This window comes from Homo sapiens, chromosome 4 (genome assembly GCF_000001405.40).
Source record: "Homo sapiens chromosome 4, GRCh38.p14 Primary Assembly".
NCBI lineage: Eukaryota > Metazoa > Chordata > Mammalia > Primates > Hominidae > Homo > Homo sapiens.
Genome location: NC_000004.12, coordinates 76,457,089 through 76,476,659, shown reverse-complemented (window position 1 = coordinate 76,476,659; position 19,571 = coordinate 76,457,089). Strand labels below are relative to the sequence as shown.

Sequence of the window (19,571 nt, the reverse complement as noted above, 5' to 3'; positions counted from 1 at the left end):
TTACACACAGCAAATATCTAAGAACAAAGGTTATACAGTCAGATCTTTTGATAGTAAGTAAAACTGATAACCAAGTAGCTCTGCAGACCTATTTGCAGCTCTTCTTTAACCAAGGGACAGAAAAATAGAAGAGCTCATCTAAGAAAACCCAATGTCTAGAGATGAATTGGATTTTGTTGCCACTAAGCTGGTTTACAAGAAATGCAGTAATCTGATGCTCTGAAGCCAAGTTTCTTAATAATGAATGTATGAGCATTTGGAAGAGTACAGAAAACATATCATAGGCCAGACCTTGAGTGCTTAGTGGAGGTCATATAATTAACACAAATGGCTTTGAGAGTCTAGGAAAAGCATAGAGATCATCTCTCCTTGTGTACAAAGCACACAAGCTTCTCTAACCTAATTAGGTAACCAAATCCTTCAAAACAAAGGGTTTTCAAATTATTCTAAAAAATTGCTGCTGCCTCCAGATTCATTCCCTGTAGTCCCCCAAGTCTCATTTTCCCCCACCTGCTGGTTCTCAGCATACTGCCTGATCATAGACATATTCTGCTGGCACAATTGCCCTCACATTGTGTTGTATGCCCATGCAGTTCATCAGATTTAAATAAAATAAAATACAATTGCAGTTACAGGTAGGATTGTTTCATGTGATTTCTAGAACAGAATTTTTTTAAAAAACAGTATTGTTTTGTGATCCACACAGATCTCTTGGAATATTGTAGAAAACACTAGGAGAATTAATTACAGAGTGTTTTCTCACTCATTGTAAAATTTTTTTCCCTACTGTGGAATGTTACATTAATGAAAGCTATTGTAAACAATGAATCTGTGGTTAACACAATTTACTGAAACTGTCTTCTGAAGAACTGTGTTGAGAAAATTGAGTGCTTGGTATAAATCAAGTGATTTGCTTTGGATTTCCTTAATATTCTTTTTTAGCTTGTGGTTTTCAATCCAAAGAGCCAACATTTGCCATAGACTCTTAAATGTCCCTTAAGCATGTATTCAAAAAGCAATGTGAGAAACAGGTTTTATGCAACTTCTGCATTGAATATTTTATTTTACAATAAATATATTGGAGCTTTCAAGTACTAATTTGATTACATTTCTAAAAATTGTGTAACTAGTTAACTCTTCCACTAACTAAAGTTGAAATCAACTATGATAAAATGCAAAAGTCCTTTATCTCTGACCCAAAAGTCTTGTGTCTTCTGCCAGCATTCATGAAACTATGGCAGGTTAATTTGTTAGCTTGCTGGTAAGGTCAATTCTCAGATCCTTCACAGTCCTTGACAACCCTTAGTGAATTATTCTAATATAGCAACCCATTGAGACTTAGACTAATACAGTTATGTTTTCCCTTCCCAGTTCTCCAAATCAGAAATATGTATTAGTAAACACAACCAAAATCTCGCTTTTTCTCATTTTATCTATCACCTCTTTCCTATGAAATGAGGTAATGCTTGTATATATTCATATACATTGTATTATTACAAAACGACATATAATTCAATTTACCAGGCTAATATGATCCAGTCCTTTGAAAAATTTCTAAAATCATATGTATTCCCTAAGACAAAACTAAGCTACAAAGTACATAATCACTGTCCTCTCTAGTACAAAGGCTAGGAAAGACGCAGAGATGAATCAAAATGATGCTAGACTAAATTTCTTGAACCACGCTCTAATCACATTCCTCACTTTCTCAAAAAAAAAATTTTTTTTTTTTTGAGCCAGAGTCTCACTCTGTCACCCAGGCAGGAGTGCAGTGGCGCGATCTCAGCTCACTGCAACCTCCACCTCCCAGGTTCAAGCAATTCTCCTGCCTCAGCCTCTCAAGTAGCTGGGATTACAGGCATGTATCACCACGTCTGGCTTTTTGTTGTTGTTGTTTTTTGTATTTTTAGTAGAGATGGGTTTTACCATGTTGACCAGACTGGTCTTAAACTCCCAACCTCAGTTGATCCACCTGCCTCAGCCTCCCAAAGTGCTGGGATTACAGGTGTGAGCCACCATGCCTGGCCTCAGAAATCTTTAATGGTTCTCTACTGACAGCTTCTCACTAATAAAGCCTTTTATAATTTGATTTCAATTTATATTTTAAAATTTATTTCCCATTACTCTCTTTGTACAATCTATAATTTAGTCAAATATAACCATTACAAAGCATGGAACTATCCCATACTTTGTATTTTATTTATTTTATTGAGATAATAATTCACTTACCAGAATATTCAGCTTTTTAGAGTACACAAGTCAGTGGTTTTTAACATATTCAGTCTTACAATCTTACCACTATCTAATTTCATAACATTTTTTATTACACTAAAATTAAGTCCTGTACCCTCTAGTAGTCACTCTCCCATCCATCCTCCCCCATAGTCCCTGACAACCACTAATACTCTCTCTGTGTTTATGGATTTGCTTATTCTGAACATTTCTTATAAATGGAATTATACAATGTGTGGCCTTTATGGCTTCTTTCACATAGCATAACGTTTTAATGTTCCTCTGTGCTGTAGCATGAATCAGTACTTCATTCTTTTATATGACTGAATAATATTTCATCAATGAGTACACCATATTTTATTTTTCCATCAGTTGATGAAAATTTTTTTTCTACTTTTTTGTTATTGCTATAAACATTCATGTACAAGTTTTTTGTGTGGACTTATGTTTTAATTTTTCCTGGATAGAAATGGAATTGCTAGGACACATGGTAATTCTATGTTTAACTTTTTGAGGAAATAGCCAGTCGTTTTCCAAAGCAACTATACCATTTTACATTCACACCAGCAATGTGTGAGAGTTTTAATTTCTTCACATCCTGGCCAACACTTTTTATTGTCTGTCCTTTTGAGTACAGCCATCCTAGAGGGTATAAAGTGATACTTCATTGTATTTTTGATTTGCATTTCCCTGGTGATTAATGATATTGAGCATCTTTTCATGTGCTTATTGACCATTTATATATCTTTTTTGGAAAAATATCTGTTCAAACCTCTTGCCCATTTTAAAATGGGGTTGTCTTCTTTTTTTTCTTTTTTTGAGACAGAGTCTTGCTCTGTTGCCCAGGCTGGAGTGCAGTGGCATAATCATAGCTCACTGCAACTTTAAACTGCTGGGCTTAAGCAATCCTCTCACCTCAGCTTCCAGAGTAGTTAGGACTACAGGTACATGCCACCATGTCCAGCTAATTTTTAAAATTTTTCATAGAGATGGGGTCTCACTATGTTGCCCAGGCTGGTCTCAAACTCCTGGCCTCAAGCAATCTTTCCATCTCAGTCTCCCAAAGCACTGGGATTAAAGGCATGAGCCACCACACCCAGCCTTGTCATTGTTGAGTCATAATAATTCTTCATATAGTCTAGATACCAGACTCTTATCAGATAGAAAATTTACAAATATTTTCTTGCATTCTATAGGTTATATTTTTACTTTCTCAATAGTATCCTTTGAAGCACAAGTCTTTAATTTTAATAAAGTCCAATTTGTCTATTTTAACTTTGATTGCTTGTGCTTTTTTTCTTACTGATAAATAAAAATCGTATATATTGTACAACTTGTTGCTTTCAATATGTATACATTGCAGAATGGCTAAATCAAGCTAATTAACATATGCTGGTTGCTTGTGCTTTTGATGCTTTGTCTAAGAAACATTCCTGGCCGGCCGTGGTGGCTCACACCTGTAATCCCAACACTTTGGGAAGCCGCGGTGGGCGGATCACAAGGTCAGGAGTTTGAGACCAGTCTGGCCAATATGGTGAAACTCCGTCTCTACTAAAAATACAAAAATTAGCTGGACATGGCGGCACATGTCTGTAGTCCCAGCTACTTGGGAGGCTGAGGCAGAATAATCGCTTGAACCCAGGACACGGAGGTTGCAGTGAGCTGAGATCACGCCACTGCACTCCAGCGTGGGCGACAGAGGGAGACTCTTATCACAAAAAAAAAAAAGAAAGAAAGAAACATTCCCCAAGGTTTATTCAGGAATATCCCATATAATTTTTTTAAACTGAGATACAAATCACTCACATACCACAATTAAAGACATTTTTACTGTGACTATAACATATACACCAAAAAGTACATATAATATAGATGCATAACTTTATTATTATAGAACTGCCACCCAGGTCAAGAAATGGAATTTTGTCAGATCTCCAGAAGACCCACCCCTTCTAGTGCCCCACCACTGCTTCCCAATCATAACATCCTCTCCTCTCCATGACAAGACTGTGGTTCTTGAAGGCAAGTCACAAATCAGATTTATACTTGGGCTCAAACAGCATTTATTATAATATTTGATAACAAATATCATTGAATTAATAAAGAATGAAAAGTCAGTACATTTTACTAACAGCAACTTCTCTACATTTTTTATTTAAGAGATTTAAATTATTGCACAAAACTGTGTTTCTCTTTTGGTTTTTGTTTTGCCCCAATCCACATGAGGTGTATGACACATTTTGATCAATTAATGTCTCACTCTGGGTAGGAGAAGAAACATAATTCTACTACTAATAATAAATGAGCTAGTATTTATTTATTGCATGCTCACCATATGCCTGAAACTGCACCAGGCATTATATCAGTCCATCTTTACTTAATAAGATAGATCTATTTTTATCTATTCCCCCTTTCATTTTTACAAACAGAAGCACTAGACTTACTGAGGGTAAGTAACACCCTTGATCATACAACTAACAAACAGCAGAGACAGGATGTAAAACCAGGTAGTCTGACTCCAGAGACTGCAAAATACAACCCCCAACTCTTCCTAGGTAACTCTGATGCCCAAAAGAACTGAGAGCTGCTCTTACATCTAATGAGAAAAAAGATTCTCACTGCATCCTTGGTGTCTCTCAGATGTTTCTTCAGATGTTCAGAGCCTGGGAGCAGTAAGTGTTCAAAAAATGGTGTTTAAGGTAACCCATTTTTTTTATTGTTAGATGTTGGGCCCATTCTTAATACATTCATATGTCACTTTCTGACTGGGATGTCAGGCTCCCTGGGTGGTAGGACTCCCTCCCACTTTGAGTAACATTCCAAATGTCCCTGCTTTTAGATTTGCTACATTAAGGAAAGCATGTGGTCTTAAAGAAAGAACAAACTGGCTGGGCGCGGTGGCTCATGCCTGTAATCCCAGCACTTTGGGAGGCCAAGGTGGGTGGATCACAAGGTCAGGAGATCGAGACCATCCTGGCTAACATGGTGAAAACCCATCTCTACTAAAAATCAAAAAATTAGCCAGGCGTGGTGGTGTGCACCTGTAGTCCCAGCTACTCAGGAGGCTGAGGCAGGAGAATCACTTGAAGTCGGGAGGCAAAGGTTGTAGTGAGCCAAGATCACGCCACTGCACTCCAGCCTGGGCGACAGAGTGAGACTCCATCTCAAAAAAAAAAAAAAAGAAAGAAAGGAAGAACAAACTAGTCTTTATAAGCAATAGCTATCTTCAGAGCTAGGCAATTCCATAAAAAGACATACATTTTCAGACAAAGGGTAACTCAGAGGTACTTTCTTTCATCAAGAAATTTACCTGTTGTTTTTTGGTATGAAAATAAGTGAGGTTTTATAACAAAAGTGGAGTTGAGTATCGTAAAGTAATCAGACTATTTTATGCATGCCTTTCCTCACAATCTCTCTCTCTCACACACACACACCCCCTAATTTTTGTACCAGCTTTTAATGGGGGTATGATTAAGAGGAATTCACCACTTACATTAATACTTTCTGTTTATGGCATTACTGACAGCTGTCACCTGATCACAGGGTATTTGTCTCATTTATGGCACACAGAGATGAATTAAATTCTGCTTGAAATGTGGCATGCTAAATTGCCCATGGTTGGCTTGGTGGTAATACTCTAACAAAATAATGAATTCAGCCTGAGCCTAGAGAACACATCCTTGGCAAAAGGCTTCTTGGCATTTTCAGCCTCATTCGTTAAGTGGGGGATACATTTTCCAAGGGCTTCATTAGCAGTTGAAGGTAGGGACAATCTATTAGGCCATGTAATTATCCTTTGATAGCCAGGTCAATCCTGTTCCAGAGACTGTTTTGTAAAATGTGGCAATGCAATCACAGCTTTCAGCTCTGTGAAAAACTCTCACCCCATCAAAAAAGGCCATTTTAAAAATTACAATTAGTCTTGTATCTTGATTGTATGTCATTTTTTCTTTTTATTGTTGTATTTTCTTAGTACTTATTTTGTCATCTAAAAGTGCTCCTCTAATTTGAGGTTAATTTTATTTTAGTTTTGACAGTAGCTTGCTTTCCAAGTCCTGTTTTTAAAGAATTGTTCCACAGAGTAGAGTGAATAACATTTTCTATCTCTTGAGAACTGGTTTTCAAGTATCAAATGCTTTGTGGTTTTCAAAGTACTTTCACACACAAAACTCACTTGATTCTCACAGAAACCCTATGAGGTAGACAGAGAGACACAGTATAGTGAATAGCTATGGGTCTGGGGTCAAATCACTTAGTGTATAGGCCTCTTTCCTCAACTTTATGTTAAATGGGGATTATAATAGGACCTACTTCATAGAGGTGTAAGAAATCAGTGAGTTAATGCATATAAAGCATTAAGCTTGGGCATATATTAAGTACTTAAGAGTTAGCTATAATTTTTGTTTAAATTGTTTAAATCTGTCTGTGTATGTCAATGAAGAGTGAAGCTTTAAAGAAGGAGATCTGATATACCAGGTAGAACTTAACTGACCCATTCTTGACATATTTCGTCTTAAATCTCAATCTTCCTTCCTATAAAGCTCTATCTCTTAAAAACTGTCCATTATCTTGTCTTTTCAAATCAAACCCAGCTCTATTCTTTGACTTACCAGACTTTTTTCCTGACCCCAATCCTCTCATCCACCTAGAGTACTACATTAAGACACTGGGAGCTGGGCCTGGTGGCTCACGCCTGTAATCCCAGCACTTTGGGAGGCCAAGGCAGGTCGACTGCCTGAGCTCAGGAGTTTGTGACCAGCCTGGGCAACCCGGTGAAACCCGGTCTCTACTAAAATACAAAAAATTAGCTGGGTGTGGCAGCATGCACCTGACGTCCCAGCTACTCAGGAGGCTGAGGCAGGAGAATTGCTTGAACCTGGGAGGCAGAGGTTGCAGTGAGCTGAGATTGCGCCACTGTACTCCAGCCTGCACAACACAGTGAGACTCTGTCTCAAAAAAAAAAAGACAATTGGGGACAAAAAGAAAAAACAGGAAATGAAACGACTGGGAATTTAAGTGGGGGGACTTAGGTGGCCTTGCTCCTAACAGCTTACTACACATCCCTTAACCTGCAGTCCCTCACTGGCTCCCCATCTTCTAACATCCACATTGCTCAACAGAGGTTGGCCATATCAGTTCTGGAAAGACTTGACTAGGACCTATAGTCAAAACCAAAATTTCCTTAATTTTAAAAATTGAAATGCTTATTAAATGCTCTTTTTTTTTTGAGATGGAGTCTCACTCTGTGGCCTAGGCTGGAGTGCAGTGGTGTGATCTTGGTTCACTGCAATTCCGCCTCCCAGGTTCAAGTAATTCTCCTGCCTCGGCCTCCCGAGTAGCTGGAATTACAAGTGTACACCACCATGTCCGGCTAATTTTTTTTTTTTTTTTTTGGAGATGGAATCTCGCTCTGTCACCCAGGCTGGAGTGCAGTGGCACCATCTCAGCTCACTGCAAGCTGCACCTCCCAGGTTCATGCCATTCTCCTGTTTCAGCCTCCCGAGTAGCTGGGACTACAGTCGCCTGCCACCACGCCTGGCTAATTTTTTTTTGTATTTTTAGTAGAGATGGGGTTTCACCGTGTTGGCCAGGCTGGTATCAAACTCCTGACCTCTGGTGATCCACCTGCCTTGGCCTCCCAAAGTGCTGGAATTACAGGTGTGAGCTACCGCGCCAGGCCATCAAATGCTTTTGATATGGCTATCTGCCTTAACTGAATCACTATTAACAAACAAAACACTGTATCACATTAAACTGAAAATAGCTTTAACAACATAATCTTGCTTAAACTAATGTGTAAATATTTAGATATATGTATATATATTTATATATAATACAATTTTGGCTTTAATTATCATAATAATTATGAATTAACATAATAATTTAAAAATAAACTCATTTATTATAAAAATAATAGCTAAGTGGTAACTACTGAAAGCCCTAAGAGGGAATTATAAAACCTATACAAAAATCCTAGTCAAGAGACAAGGAATTCTATAATTTGTTTGCCCTTTTCAAGAATCCTGCAGAAATGTCTTTGTATATACATGACTGTGTACATTGAGTATTTCTACAAGTTCAAAACCTAAAAGTGGTCTTGTTGGGTTAAAGAAAATGTGAATTTGTAATTCCAACAGATACTGCCAAGATACTCTCTCTGTAGGTACTGTATTAATTTACATTTCTACTAGCAATATGTAGGAATGTCCCCTATATGTAGAATGTTTCCTCTTCCGTCACTCTTGTCAAATCTTGGTCAAGAGGATAGGCAAAAATTAGTTCCAGCCCTTCTGATGAAGTCCTATTACTCTGACTTGTAGTTAACAGCACACTTTCCCAGTGGGCTGAATCTTGTCTTTTAACTCTTAACTGGTCTGGCTCCCAACAGGCTGCTTGCCATTCTATGCCCCTTATGTTAATTCAAATGTCATCTGCTGTCTATATTTCCTTATGTCCCACCTCCTAGAATAATGGAGCTAGTTTAAATCAAGACTGAACTCTTCATTCCCATTTCCAGTATCAGATATTAGAAAGTTTTATGCACTCCTTGGAATCAGCCTTATAACCAAGTCCTTTCTCTGAGTTCTGGTACTAACTTCCCTCAAGCCCAGGCAACTGAGGGCTCAACATGTCTCAAAGGCAACAGAAATTATTGAAGTTATACCCGGGTTTGTGAAAGTTGGGACTACTTATCTTCATCTCAAGTCTTTCCATGCTTCCTCCTTTTCCTCACTTAGTTCCTGAAAGATCACCAATTGCAGTTGCAGTGACTTCACTTGTAAGGGGCTCTCAGACTCTGGTTAGGACTGGCAAAATACATAGGGAGTGATTACCACTAGCCTGGGTCTTTGCTTGCTCTAGACTGTATGTACTTCATTATTTAGCTGTCTCATGTGTGAGTTAGTCCCTCTCACCAGTATTTGCTTAGCCTTCACAGTTCCAAAATCATTCTTTATCCACAACTTAAAGTCAGACAGGACTGGGTTTGAATCCCAGAGGGACCACAAACGCATGCGATTTCAGGCAGCTTATTTCACTTATCTAAGCCTCAGTTTACTCACTGACAAAATGATGACATGGGAGCTGGCTATGGTGGCTCGTGCCTGTAATCTCAGCACTTTAGGAAGCAGAGGCAGGCAGATGGCTTGAGCCCAGGAGTTCAAGAGCAGCCTGGGCAACATGGTGAAACCCCATCTCTACCAAAAATTTTTAAAAAAATTAGCTGGGTCTGATAACATGTACCTGAAATCCCAGCTACTCGGGAGGCTGAGGTGGGAGGATCACTTGAGCCCAGAGGGTTGAGGCTGCAGTGAGTCGTGATTGAGTCACCACACTCCGGCCTGGGTGACAGAGTGAGACCCTGTCTAGAAAAAAAAAAAAAACTTTTCTGGGTTCTGGGGAGGGCCAAGATAATATATATAAAAAGCATCCAGCACAAGGGTTGGCACATAGCATAAATGCAAGAAATATTAGTTTCCTTCACTTACTCCCCCAGCAGAGAAGCAAAATACTATTTTATTAGTATTTTACTTTCTCATAAGCCTATATTTTCATTGCATCTTCAGCCCAAACCTAAACTTATTGCTTCCTTATTTTTTATTTTTGCTAAAATGTAAAATTAAACATGTACAAAAAAGGGATTCCTTTATGGCTCTTAGGATTTGGTTTTTGTCGTTGTTCTTGGTAATTTTGTTTAGTCTGAGTATTTTTTGCCAGGTTTCTATTGATTTGGGACTTAGACTTATTGCTACTATTACAAGGTAAATGTTTTAAATTCTCCCATGATTAAATGCATTATTACATTGAACAAAAGGCTAAAGAATCCAGAAAACAGCAGGGCCCCTACTTCTGCATCAGGTTAAAACGTATTACAGAGTTGGCAGTGACTTGTTACCTGAGGCGTACAGACACTGCTCTTAGTTCCTGAGGAAGTCTATCTACAAGGCAGAAGACATTTGGTTCATACAACAGTTTCTGCAACCAATCTATCTCAGTAATAACAATAAAATCTTACTATGTCTTGAAAATTCACAGGGCAAGTTAGAAAAGAATATAAAAGAGGAAGAAAATGGAGGAGCAGATTCTGTGGGAGAGAGAAAAACAATTTTGCTTTCAGTTTATCTGATTAGGCTGTGATAATGCCCTCTACAGAACTGTCCATCATGGCTTCACTTAGGTCAGACAAGAGTCTGACCCCAATGCCTAGGCAACAAAGGGCAAACAATGCCAAATTCAATTTTAGCTGATTCTTGAAAGATGAAAAAAATATTTTTCAAGAAGCCTGTTGAGAACATCACACCAACCCTACATTTTTCATTTTTGACACATTAACACTTTATAACATAAAGCAGGAAGCAAAGAGGGCAAGATAAAGAAAGCAGAGACCAACAAACACGTAAATGCTGTTCAGGTTCTTGGTTATTGTCCTCAATCCTGGGAATTTAATGTCTTCCCTGGATTCATTTTAAAATTTTATATTTAAAAGTGATACTTTCCCACTAGGGCACAGATGTTTTTCTACAGGAAAACCTAAATCTTAGGCCCTTTATGCATGGCATATTTAGTTTTTCAAAAAGCATTTTCAGTTATTAGGAACAAGTGAAATTATGCTTTCCCAAGGCCCAGCAATCTTATATTTGTCAACAATCTAATAGTCAGTGAGCGTCAGGCTTTTTGCATTGTTACTTGATTTCTGTGTCTGTTTAGGTCCTCAAAGATACAGATGCCAAGGTGGAACCAGATGTGCAAGAGATGTATTAGGAGAAACACCTACAGAGGATAAACAAGTGAGGTATCAGAAATAGGAGAAGAGAGCTCTTTGAACACAATGTGGATCTGACACCTGTGAAAGGGGAGAGAGAAAGCCAGGAGGGAAGGCAGGAGGACTGAGGAAAAGGAGCTTCGGCCTGCAGTGTGATTCTGAGAAAGTCTTGGCCAGGCTGATGGGAAGTCCTGGAGCAAAGATTGCCTACTGTAAGAGGCATCAGGCAGAATGGCATGGCTTTCATACCCCAATATGTTCAGCTATTGGCTAGTAGCAGCCTGGGGTGAGCATGGCCTTGGCATAAACACTGCAGCAGATCCAAAGGTGTAACAGCTGGAAACTGTCTGACAATTATGTTCCTTGAAGCAGTTTCTCCTGAAGTAACATCTGAGCAGTGTACCACCTTGGCTACTACAACTTCTTAGATAAGTGCACACTTTAAATCAGTTTTGGAATAAATAGGTATGCATACATACATATGTAGACATATGCTAGCTCTCCAGATAAACAAATAATGTGGATTAAACTTGCTAATATGATTCAAGTGAAGTTTGACCTTTTTATTGAGAGAAATTAAAGATTCTATATATCCTTGAAGAATTCTATATAATGGTTGTGAATGAATGCTAGTTCAGGCACTCAAAACACCACTGGGGATCAGTAGCCAAAGAGAACATTTATGGTGTTCAGGTGATGTATTAGTCCATTTTCACACTGCTATAAAGAACTACCTGAGATTGGGTAATTTATGAAGAGGTTTAATTGACTTACAGTCCTGCAGGCTCTACAGGAAGCACAGCTGGAAGGCCTTAGGAAACTTACAATCATGGCAAAAGGTGAAGGGGAAGCAAGCACATCTTACCATGGTGGTGCAGGAGAGAGAGAGAAGGTAAAGAGGGAAGTGCTACACACTTTCAAACAACCAGATCTCATGAGAATTCACTCACTATCATGAGAATAGCAAGGGAGAAATCCACCCCCATGATCCAATCACCTCCCATCAGGTTCATCCCCCAACATTGGGGATTACAATAGGACATGAGATTTGGGTGGGGACACAAATCCAAACAATATCATTCCACCCTGCCCCCTCCAAAATCTCATGTCCTTCTCACACTAAAACATAATTATGCCTTCCCAACAGTCCCCCCGAGTTTTAACTCATTCCAGCATTAACTCAAAAGTCCAAGTCCAAAGTCTCATCTGAGACTAGGAAGTCCCTTCTGCCTATGAGCCTATAAAATTAAAAAAAAAAAATTAGTTACTTCCAAGATACAATGGGGTACAGGCATTGGGTAAATGCTCCCTTTCCAAATTGGAGAAATTGGCCAAAACAAAGAAGCTACAGGTCCCATGCAAGTGCGAAACCCAGCAGGGCAGTCATTAAATCTTAAAGCCCCAAAATAATCTCCTTTGACTCCATGTATCACATCCAAGTCATGCTGATGCAAGAGGTGAACTCTCAAGGCCTTAGGTGGCTCCACCCCTGTGGCTCTGCAGGTTATGGCCCCCACAGCTGCTTTCACAGGCTGGTGTTGAGTGACTGTGGCATTTCCGGGTGCACAGTGCAGGCTGTTAGTGGATCTACCATTCTGAGGTATGGAGGACAGTGACTTTCTTCTCACAGCTCTGCTGGGCAGTGCACAAGTGAGGACTCTGTGTGGGGACTCTGATGCCGCATTTCCCTTCTGCACTGCCCTAGTAGAGATTCTCCATAAGGGCTCCGCCCCTGCAGCAGACGTCTACCTGGACATCCAGGAATTTCCATACACACTCTGAACTCTAGGTAGAAGCTTTCAAGCATTAACACTTGCCCTCTGTGCACCCACAGGCCAAACACCATGTAGAAACTGCCAAGGTTTGGGACTTGCAGTCTCTGAAATAATGGCCTGAGCTGTACCCTGACCCCATTTAGCCTTGGCTGGAGCTGGAGCAGCCACAGTGCAAGGTGCCAGGTCCCAAGGCTTCAAAGAGCAGTGGGGCTTTGGACCTGGCCCATGAAACCATTTTCTCCTTCTAGGACTCTAGGCCTGTGATAAGAAGGGCTGATACAAAGGTCTCTCAAATGTCTTGGAGACATTTTCCCCATTGTCTTGGCTATTAACATTGGGCTCCTCCTTACTTATGCAAATTTCCATAGCTGGCTTGAATTCCTTCCCAGAAAATGGGTTTTTCTTTTCTACCACATGATCAGGTTGCAAATTTTCCAATCTTTTATGCTCTGTTTCCATTTTAAATATAAGTTCTAATTTCAGACCATCTCTGTGAACACATATGAGCCTAAGCTGTTAGAAGCAGCCAGGCCACTTCCTGAATGCTTTGCTGCTTAGAAATTTCTTCACCAGATACCCTAAATCATTTCTCTCAAGTTAAGAGTTCCACAGATCTCTAGAGCAGGGGCACAATGCCACCAGCCTCTTTGCTAAAGCATCACAAGAGTGACCTTTACTTCAGTTCCCAATAAGTTGCTCATTTCCATCTGAGACCTCCTCAGCCTGGACTTCATTGTCCATATCACATATCACTATCAGCATTTTGGTCAAAACCATTCACTAAGTCTCTAGGAAGTTCCAAACTTTCTCTCATCTTACTATCTTTTGAGCCCTAAAAACTGTTCCATCCTATGCCCATTACCAAGTTCCAAAGACGATGCCACACTTTCAGGCATCTTTATAGCAATGCCCCCCTTCTCTACCAATTTTCCATATTAGTCCATTCTCGCACTGCTATAAAGAACTACCTGAGTCTGGGTAGTTTATGAAAAGAAGAGGTTAAATTGATCCACAGTTCCACAGGCTACATGGGAAGCATGGCTGGGCGGCCTCAGGAAATTTAAAATCATGGTGGAAGGCAAAAGGGAAGCAAGCATGTCTTACCATGGCAGAGCAGGAGAGGGAGAGAGGGAGAGGGAGAGGGAGATGGAGATGGAGAGGGAAAGGGAGAGGGAGAGGGAGAGGGAGAGGGAGAGAGAGAGGGAGAGGGAGAGGGAGAGAGAGAACAAAGAAGGAAGTGCTACACTTTCAAACAACCAGATCTCATGAGCACTCACTCACTATCATGAGAACAGCAAGGGGAAAATCCACCCCCATAATCCAGTCACCCATAACCAGTCCCTCCCCCAATATTGGGGATTACACTTCAACATGAGATTTGGGTGGGGACACAAATCCAAACCATATCAAGTGGTAAATGAAGTTTGGGCTCGTCTATCTTATAGGATCTACCCTATAGTTATTTCTATAGTTTTAATGTATCATATATGTAGACTATATGTAGACATGCTTTTTTTTTTGAGACTGAGTCTCACTCTGTCACCCAGGCTAGAGTGCAGCAGCATGATCTCAGCTCACTCCAACCTCTGCCTCCTGGGTTCAAGCGATTCTCCTACCTCAGCCTCCCAAGTAGCTGGGACTACAGGTGTGCATTTTTGTATGTTTAGTAGAGACAGGGTTTCACCATGTTGGCCAGGCTGGTCTTGAACTTCTGACCTCAAGTGATCTGCCCATCTTCGCCTCCCAAGGTGCTGAGATTACAGGTGTGAGCCACTGTGCCCAGCCAACATGCTTTAAAAATGATCTAATTTCCACACTGGGATGTAGAGAAAGAGCTAATACTGTAGGAGGGCCAAGTGGAAGCCCTTGGAACTCCTTTTGTCCTATCCTAATGGTAAACTAAAAGCAATTATCACACCCTTGGAAGAACTGTCAAGATTAATGCCACCACCAAAGACTTAAAAGATACAGGTGTGATTCCTAACATTCCCATTTAATTTGGCCTGTGCAGATTTATTCATCTTGGACAGTGAATATGGATTTTTGTAAACTTAATCAAGTAATGCCAATTGCAACTGCTGTTCCAGATGTGATAACTTGAGCAAAGCAATACAAGTATCTCGCATGTAGTACTTAGCTATTGATCTTAACATTTTTTTCCCCTTCAAAAAATTCTCAAGAATTACCATAAGCCTTTTGCTTTCACCTAATGAGGACAACAGCATACCTTCACACTGCTGTCTCAGAACTATGTCAACTCCTGCACTGTCATATTCTTGATCATCTTGACATGCCACAAACTATCATGTGTCTGCTTCATTTAGAATATCATGCAAAATTGCATCTGGTAAGCAGGTAGTAGTAAATATCTTTATACTTATTCTCTGTATTAAATTTCCTCTGCTGAAACAACTAGTGTGAATTCTGTTTCCGTATTCTGACACAACCCCAAATTCTAATTTCCAAACTCTTTATGGACTAAGCCAAAAATTATTGCCAAATATCTATGATTTTCCATGAAAGTCTGAGTTTCTCCATAAAAGTCAGATGTCTTTTATATGATTGATGTGAGTACCACATGAGATATTCAAATAAATTTTACTACTAGACTCACAATTGCCTTTGACTCTTTTGTATGATACTAGAGTCAATCCTGGTCCCTTGGCTAATTTTGCATTATCTGTGGAGTAGAGAGCATTATGTTAGGGGTTGAACTATGTTCTCCCAAAATTCCTATGTTGAAGCCCTAAATCCCAGTGTCTCAGATGTGACTTTTTAGAGATAGGGCTTTTAAAGAGGTGATTAAGTTAAAATAAAGCCATTATGATGTGCCCTAATACAATCTAATTGCTTTTTCTTCTTTTTTTTTTTAAATTTTTTTTATTTGTATTTTTTCGAAACAGGGTCTCACTCCAACACCCAGGCTGGAGTGCAGTGGTGGTGTGATTATGGCTCACTACTGCCTTGACTTCCCAGAATCAGGTGATTCTCCTACCTCAGCTCTCAAGTAACTGGGACTACAGGGGCATACTACCATGCCTGGCTAATTTTTTTTTTTTTTTTTGTAGATACGGGCTTTCACTGTGTTACCCAGGCTGGTCTTGACTCCTGGACTTAAAACTATCCACCAGCCTCAGCCTCCCAAGGTGCTGGGATTACAGGTGTGAGCTACCACTAGTGGCCTCTTCTAAGAGGAAATTTGGATATACAGAGAGACACCAGAGATGTGGGGGCACAGAGGAAAGACCTGCTAGGATACAGTAAGAAGGCAGCCTCTGCAAACTTAGGACAAAGTCCTCAGGAGAAACCAAACCTGCTCACACCTTGATCCTGGACTTCTAGCCTCCAGAACTGTGAAAAAAATATTCTGTTGTTTAAGCTACCCAGTCTGCGGCATTTTGTTTTGCCAGCTCTAATAAACTAATAAACAACCGATGGTGTAAAGATGTAATATGGATTTAAAAACCTTAGATAGTAAGATACATAAAGGTCGCAACGGTGGTAGTGTCTTTGTCTTTTGTCAACACAAAAATGTTGTGTTTGTGCATCTGGCTCTACAGCTTGTGCTTTTAATCACTATGCTATACCAGATTATACATAAGAGGGAAGGATGCCTGTTGATGTAGCCAATCACAAATATGCTGTTTTTACTGAATTGAAGGCAAATGGGGAGACCATTTTATATCTAATGCCTAAGTTAAAGTCATTTTTAAACTTATGTAGCCCTCAACACTTTCCCTTGGGCAAACAATATTAAAAAAGTAATCTCTTTTGATAATGTGTGAAGTTCACACACACATAATCCAGAAGCGATCACATACATACAACTTCTAAATTCAAATATAAAAATTCTGATGATAATAAGAATCATTCCTGGGTAATGTAACAAACATTTTCATATGCATTACCTCTGTTTGATCCTCACAAGAACCTTGTAAATAAGAAGCAGCAGCACATTATCCATACTTTGTAGACGAGGAAACTGAGGCTAGGAAAAACTGAGAAGTAGCAAGGTTGTAAGGCCATTGGCAGGTTATTTTGGTATCAACTGCAGGGCTCCCAGCTCTTTTGTGCCACTCTCGCTGCTTCTCAGAGAAGTCAAGTAAGCTGCAATACTAATGCTAGCATTTTCTGGACTGTTGTAACATTACTTTAGCAAAGGCACCGAGAATCCTGAGGGACAACAATGCAGTTAGGACCAGAAATGTACAGTTTTCTGTGCCTTAGCCTAGACTGCATCATGACTCAGCATTAGTGAAAGGAAAAAGTGACCCATGGCGCCATATCTGGCTGTGCGAGATTTTCCTCTGTTGATTTTTTTTTCTCCGTGTACTGCTCCAACTTGATCCTGTTTCGTGAATGAGGCCTGACGGCAAATCGAAGACTGAATAAAAAGCTCCCTGCCGAAGTGCTGTCACAGCGGCTCAACCTAGGCTCCCTGGAACTTTGGCAAGCGGAAGAATCCTTTGTCTTCAGACTATGACAAGAGGGGGAAAAAATCCCAACTATTCGGCTGTGTAGCATCACTCAAGCATGCCTTAATGGGGAAGGTCTAATGAGGAATGTAGTCTTTGAAAAACCTAGCGTTAAAAACTCCCAAAGCATTCTCACTGTACAATTCTACACAATTATAATTAATAGGATTCAAACTACACATCAGAGATTATGTTACCATTTTACCCAGTTTGATGGCCACGGATGCTTCTTTCCTTTACTGGTTATGTTCAAAGAGATTTGGGCCTGTTATAATCAAATGTAGGAAAAAACATCCCTATTCTTCCTGGATTCTATGGAGGTAGCAGGAATAAGAGAATAAAAGAAAAGCCAATTTTAAACTCCCAAATGAACCGCAGCTGCTCCAGGCCCTTTCCAATCCCCGCCCCCCTGCTGCTGTTGACCTGTTAATAGATTCCTGCTCTTTAGCTTAACTCAACTTTCACAGGGAGCTGGACCTAAAACCAGTTTTGAACAGTTTTTGAAGGTACACAGAGCTCCTGTCCAAATACAGGATGCAGGTTTATGGTAGGTAAAATTCACATATCATTATTCCTCTATAATTTGTCTCCAATAAATTCAAGAACATTCACTTCCAACGTTGTACTTTCTGCCTGGTAAAAATGCTTCCATCAAACAAACAAACAAACTACAAAGAGGGTCACAGAACTTCCAAAGTATGTGTGTGACAGGATAATTGTATGGCATTTGATTTATATCTCAATAAAACTGTTCTTTTCTTAAAAGTATATGTGTAGTTGGGAAGGGGGAAAAAATAAAATTATTAAATGTAGAATTTTCTTGATTTAAAGCTATTATCACTAGAGGAGGGGCAAAGGGGAATTACTGTTTAATGAGTGCAGAGTTTCAGTATGGGAAGATGAAAAAGTTCCGGAACCAGATAGTGGTGATGGTTGCACAACAATGTACTCAACGCTACTGAAAAAGTAATATTATCATTTAACAAAACCATTACTCTAACAAGATTACATGTTCATTGTAGAGACTTCAGAAAAAGATACAAAAGAGGAAAATATGAATCACTTAAAATCCCACTACAAAGACACAATCAGTTTTAATACTTTTATATACATATTCTCCCAAATTTTGTCAAAAATAAATATTTAAACATGTAAGTAAATAAAACTGGGATTGTACTAGGCATGTTACTTGGCAACCTACTTCTCTTACTCAAAAATATATGAATATGAATATATAATATCTTTCCATGTTGTATTAGTCCGTTCTTGCACTGCTATGAAGAAATGTCAGAGACTGAGTAACTTATAAAGAAAAGCCGGGTGCAGCCAGGCGTGGTGACTCATGCCTGTAATCCCAGCACCTGGGGAGGCCCAGGCAGGCGGATCATGAGGTCAGGAGATTGAGACCATCCTGGCTAACACATGAAACCCTGTCTCTACTAAAAATTCAAAAAATGGCCAGACACGGTGGTGGGCACCTGTAATCCCAGCACTTTGGGAGGCCGAGGCAGGAGAATGGCGTGAACCTGGGAGGCGGAGCTTGCAGTGAGCCGAGATCAGGCCACTGCACTCCAGCATGGGCGACAGAGTGAGACTCCCTCTCAAAAAAAAAAAAAAAGAAAAGAAAAGCCAGGCTCGGTGGCTCACGCCTGTTATCCTAGCACTTTGGGAGGCCAAGGCGGGCAGATCCTGAGGTCAGGAGATCGAGGCCATCCTGGCCAACATGGTGAAACCCCGTCTCTACTAAAACTACAAAAATTAGCTGGGCGTGGTGGTGCGTGCCTGTAATCCCAGCTACTCGGGAGGCTGAGGCAGGAGAATCGCTTGAACCCAGGAGGCAGAGGTTTCAGTGAGTCGAGATAGTGCCACTGCTCTCCAGCCTGGAGACAGAGCGAGACTCCATCTCAAAAAAAAAAAAAAATTATAAAGAAAAGAGGTTTAGTTGACTCACGGTTCTGCAGGCTGTACAGGAAGCATAGCAGCTTTTACTTCTGCAGAGGCCTCAGGAAGCTTCTAATCATGGTGGAAAGCAAAGGGGGAATGAGGCATCTTACATGGAAGGAGCAGGAGAAGGAGAGAGTGAGGGAGGAGGTGCTGCACACTTTTAAACAACCAGATCTCACGAGAGCTCACTCACTCGCTATCATGAGAACAGCACCAAGGTAATGGTGCTAAACCATTCATGAGAAATCCATTCCTGTGATCTAACCACCTCCCTCCACTTCCAACAGTGGAGAATACAATTTGACATGAAACTTGGTGGGGACACAGATCCAAACTGTCAGGCCTCTGAGCCCAAGCCAAGCCATCGCATCCCCTGTGATTTGC

At 40.1% G+C, this 19,571-nt stretch overlaps 1 protein-coding gene across 1 annotated transcript in view, besides 2 other annotated features; it reads right to left on the bottom strand.

Annotated features, from left to right (window-relative positions):
* The window catches only part of SHROOM3 (shroom family member 3), a 348,025-nt gene that overhangs the window by 306,594 nt on the left and 21,860 nt on the right, over nt 1-19,571 (bottom strand). The window lies entirely within an intron of this gene.
* Nucleotides 16,617-17,816: an enhancer, noted in NCBI's record as "MED14-independent group 3 enhancer chr4:77379997-77381196 (GRCh37/hg19 assembly coordinates)". NCBI's record gives its function as "activates an origin of replication core promoter dependent on BRD2, BRD4, P300/CBP and CDK7 cofactors, and independent of MED14, by STARR-seq in HCT116 cells {active_cell/tissue: HCT116}" and the evidence as "EXISTENCE:reporter gene assay evidence [ECO:0000049][PMID:35650434]".
* Nucleotides 16,929-17,624: an enhancer, noted in NCBI's record as "OCT4-NANOG-H3K27ac hESC enhancer chr4:77380189-77380884 (GRCh37/hg19 assembly coordinates)". NCBI's record gives its function as "activates a minimal SCP1, AML or CMV promoter by ChIP-STARR-seq in naive H9 embryonic stem cells {active_cell/tissue: H9 hESC(naive)}" and the evidence as "EXISTENCE:reporter gene assay evidence [ECO:0000049][PMID:30033119]".